This window comes from Homo sapiens, chromosome 17 (assembly GCF_000001405.40).
Source record: "Homo sapiens chromosome 17, GRCh38.p14 Primary Assembly".
NCBI classification, from domain to species: domain Eukaryota; kingdom Metazoa; phylum Chordata; class Mammalia; order Primates; family Hominidae; genus Homo; species Homo sapiens.
Genome location: NC_000017.11, coordinates 54,366,822 through 54,372,159, shown reverse-complemented (window position 1 = coordinate 54,372,159; position 5,338 = coordinate 54,366,822).

Below are 5,338 nucleotides of genomic sequence, written 5' to 3'. Positions count from 1 at the left end.
AACTTTCCAAAGTGAATAAGTAGATTTTCAGTAGAAAAAGATGCAAAATAAACAAATAAAACCCACTGTCAGTTCAAAATTTTTCAGCAGGCTGAGTATGAAAGCCTCCCAGAAGGGACTATTTGGTGAAAGTTGGTTTAAGTAAAAATGAAATCTTTACAACTTATCAAGCTTAATATTTACCAATGTCCAGAGGCTTTTTAGTGGTACTGTTTGTCTCATCTACTCCACAAACACTTACTGGGAACTTTAGATACAGCATATGCATGTTCAGAAAAGAAAAATAACTTAAATAACTTAGGCTAAGGGAAAGAAGAGAGAATTCATTTTTGTAATATTTAGACTATAGCTATAGATGTCACATAAATCTGCTTAAAATTGTCTTCCGTTAATCAGTTCATCATTACAAATTTCAGACTGATGTTTTCTAAATTAGAAACTGGAGCTTTTTATTAATTTATTTGAAATACTTTATCTGTTTAACATTTAATGAGATTTCAAGCAATTATATAAGCCAGATGGTATTCTGCAGTCCATGACTTTATCAAAGAAACAAAATCTTTGTTCTTTTATATAAACTTTTGTGTTTCCACAACCTTCAGGATAAGAAAAATGGTTTATGGACCAGACGTCATTTGACCATAAAAGTTCCTCTTAAAGGAATCCGCAAGATGCTAGACTGGAGATACCTTAATGGTATGATGAATCCTTAAACACTTTCTTCAGATTTCTCTATGACCTTTTCAGATTGTGATAAAATTCTGATGGTTTATTTATTTATTTATAAAGAGGTATTTCTGTCTTGAAAAAAATAAGCAAGAAGAAAGATAACTGATTTCAAGAGCAAATCTTTCATCAAAACCTGGAAATGCATTCTGGCAAGGATAACTCAGAAAAACTGACATGCCACAGCAAAGAGGTTATATCATTGCCTCCGAATGCAAAACAAATGTCAAGAATTGCTGAGCCAAAATGTTAAATTGTCAAAAGAATGGTTTTGCTCTATGTATTTTAACCATGGAGAAAGGAAATGCGTCAACAATCCCTGGTTGATAACATTATCTTAAACTGTTAATTATAAGCTACAAGAAAGATAAGACTTTTGGCAGTTGATGGCTAGGAAGTTTATTAAAATTTTGTAGTAGGCACTAAAGAATATTGGCTATAGTTGAATTAGAATAATTTCAGTCCCCAGTTTATTCTAAAACACCTATCATGTGACAGTTAATAAAACATGCTAAATTGCTCCCCTTGCTTCTTACCTCCCCACCCAAAGAAACAAACACTGTCAACATTCAGTGGAAATTGAGCTTGCCTGGATCCAAAGAAAACGTAAACCCCTTTTTAAAGTCAGTGGTTATCCTAGAGGATGGTCCTTAGGCAAGCAACAGCCATATCATCTGGAAACTTGTTAGAAGGTCCTAGAATCACTTTGGAACTGAGGCCCCACACCAGATTTTCTGAATCAGAATATGTGGGGATGGGGCTCAGCAATCTGTAGTTTAACAAGCCTTTCAGGTGATTCTAATGCTAAAGTCACTGTGTAGGTGATATGGGAGGGGGACAGGGAAGTGCTGGGTAGAGAAGGGGCGGGTCCCTGGCAAGGGCTCCACCCTGGGGCCTGTGCCCATGGATCTAAGTGAGAACAGGCACTCTGGGTTTTCGGGCTCAAATGTTGCATTTACCAAGACCACTTTGGCCTGTCATGCCCCCACATCCTGTGCCCAAGAGACCTTAGCAGGCACACATACAAGTTGGCTGGACCTCTAGAGGAGGAGAACACACTGATGACACCAGCAGACACTGACAGACCAGCCATGGCGGAACCACATGGACACAGAGGGCAGTTCGGCCGGGGGGCAATCAGAGGAGAGTCTGGCTGCTGGGCTGCCTGACTCCAGGGGAAGACAGCCTTCCCACTCCATCCCCCTTCTAACTCCCCAGTCATGTTGCTGAGAGCTAACTCCACCACTCAATAAAAACTTGCACTCATCTTCCAAGCCCACATGTGATCCGATTTTTCCAGTACACTAGGGCAAGAACCCGGGATACAGAAAGCCCTCTGTCCTTGTAATAAGGCAGAAGGTCTAATTGAGCTGATTAACACAAGCTGCCTGCAGACAGCAAAGCTGAAAGAGCACACTGTAACACAGGCTCACTTAGGCTTTGGGAGTTGTAAACACTCACCCCTAGATGCTGCCATGGGGTCAGAACCAAAAAATGCTCCCCACGACCTCTGCATCTGCCCGTCTGCATGCTCCCCTAGGGTTGAGCAGTGGAGGCACCAAACAAGTAAGCCACACCCTTGTCGCACATCCTGTGAGGGGGATAAGGGAACTCTCCCATTTCATAAGATTCTAAAACCATTCCGTATGTTGAAAACTCAGCTGTAAAACTTATCCTTAAATACCCATTAGAAAGGTACAAAAATGTAGTTCAATAGTCCACCTTAAAATATGCCCAGCATAGTCAATTTTTCCTCTAGTATTGAAGAAAAAAGTTTCTGCCTCTTTGGGCACTGGATGATGCATTTGACTTGGGGCCATGTTTTATGAAAAATATATATATTTAAACACAATTTAATGTAGTAAGATGCATAGACTATGAGACTATGGGGAAATTGACAATAACAAACAGACTAGGACATTAGCATTTCCCATCATGTTTGTTTTAGGGAATATATTTATTGAATAGCCTCATGGGAAGAATTCACTACACAATTCAAAATATTTTCTTTCTCTTTCTTTCCCTTTTTAAACTGAGTGTGTGTACTTTAATCCAAATATGTGAATTGCCCATGTGGTAAACTATTTGGGCCATATTATTTCAGTATGTGTTGTGTTAGAATAAAATCTCTTGTTAAGAACTATTAAAACAAATTAAATTTAGCAGAGTTTATTTGAGCAAGGATAGTTTCATGAACTGGGCAGCCTCAGAACAAAAAGAGATTCAGAGAGCTCCACCCAGCAACATGGGCAGGACAGTATTTATAGACAGCAAAAGGAAGTGATGTACAGAAATAGCTTGATTGGCTACAGATGGGCATTTGCATTTATTGGACATGGTGTGATGAGGCATTTGCTTTCTGTGAACATGGTCTGATCAGTTGGCAGCCTGTGATTGGCTGAAGCTTGGCTACTGTAATTGAGACTCAGCTATTTGTTACAAGAATATAGTCTTATTAAGGTTGCAGTTTCTTTACATACTAAGTTAGTTTGCAGTTTACTCTGTAGGGATTCAAAGTACAAAGGCAGCCTTAGGACAAATTTAATTTAATTTAACAAAATAAATCCATAATTTTTTAAACACTTGAGATCCAGGGAATTTTGTGTTATTCTCAGTTCGAGCAATGTGATTGTTCTATGTGATTATGGATGACACTAAGCCTGTTTTCTCATTTTTCTTCTTCTACACATGGATTTTAAGAAATTGGAGATTATTGCAGGGTGTGTGTGTGTGTGTGCATGCATGTGTGGTGTTTCTGCATGTGCTAACAACAAAACACATTCTGATAAACAAGATTTATTCAAGAAATATAAAGATCTTTGAATCTTAGCAGATCTATTTTCATATTAGCATCACATTAAATAGTAGAAAGTAAACAAGAAAACATACTACCTATTTAGATGCAGAAAAATTATTCAGTAAAAATTCCTAACAAACAGGGAATACGAAAAAAATAATTTTAGTTTTTAACCTGATAGAGGATTTCTGTAGGAGGAAAATGATAGCAAATATGGACAAAATGGCAAAACTCTGAAGTATTTCCCTTTATTCTGGAATAAGACAAATATATCTGCCATCACTTCTAATATTCACTATTGTAGTAAAGGTTTAGCTAATGGAAAAGACAAGAAAGATATACAACAAGAAATATGGAAATAATAGGAAGTAATACCACTCTCTTTATTTTTAAATGATGAAAATTTCTGTATAAAAATTCAAGATAATTTGTATACAAGTTATAAATAATTGCAAGGTTTTTAGATAATAGATCTACATACAAAAACTAAGAGTGCTTTTTACAGTAAAGTGTATTGATTTAAAAAATTTTCATTCACAGAAATAATAAAAACTTAAAAAAAACCATAAGAACCCTATTAAGAGATCTTATAAATGATTTAAATATGGATAAAATTATATTGCTAAAAGAGATAAGAAAAAAATTAAATAGAGCGATACTGTGTTAATATATAAGAAGCCTCAATATAATAATGATATCAATTATCTCAAAATTAATTTAAAATTTTAACCCACAACAATATTTTGTTGAGATTTTGACAATATGTTGAGTCATGAATATTTTGAAATAGGACAAAGTATACAAAACTGATGTGGCAGATACTGAGATTATTATAAATCTATAGTAATTTAAAAAGTGTTTTAAGTGACACAAAAATAAGATGACACAAAATAAAATAGAAACCCCAGAAAATGACCCAGACATTTATAAAACTTGGTATATGACAGCAATAGTATTATAGTTAGTGGGAAAATATGGATTACTCAGCAAATGGTCTTAGGACTGTATTATTCAGATAAAAAAATACAATTAGTTTGATACTGCATATTACAACCAAAATGTAAATATAAAGAGCAAAACGGTGTATTCTGGGAAAATATAGCAAAATTTTTATAAGGACTGGTTAAGAAAACATTTCTTAATGCAAATAGAATAAATTATTTAAAAACTGAAAATTTTAAAACTTAAATTTAAACTTAAATTTAAAATTTAAAAACTAAAAAGCTGAAATTTTCAAACACATTAAGATTTTAAATTTCTGTACAAAAAATCACAATGGAAAAATATGTCAGACTAGAGAAATATTGTAATGTGTATAATCACCAAAACATAAGTATGAAGAATATACAGTAAAAATGATTCCTAAAAAACTTAGTAAGAAAAAGTCAACCCAATAGAAAATTGAGCAAAAGGTATGAAGAGAAATGTGATTCCTGTCTGCCAACTCCAACAGAAGAGAAAAACTCAAGAGAAATTCACAAGTCATTTCCATTATATTGACAAAATTAAGTGTTTGACTATACCAAGTATCAGCAAGATTAAGGCATAACAAGAACTCTTCATACACTGTGAATTGAGATAAACATTGTTACGATCACTTTGGATAACAACTTGGCAATAGTTAATATTCAAATTTTAATATGTGCATGCATTCGACAATCCTACAATGGAATATCACACAAAAATAAAAATGAGTGGCTGAGAACTATCAGCACTAACAAGAATGACTCTCACAAATATTAAATGTAAACAAAACTATATTTTATGTAGGAATACTTTTAAAGTATTTTTAAAGTATTTTTTATATATATTTTT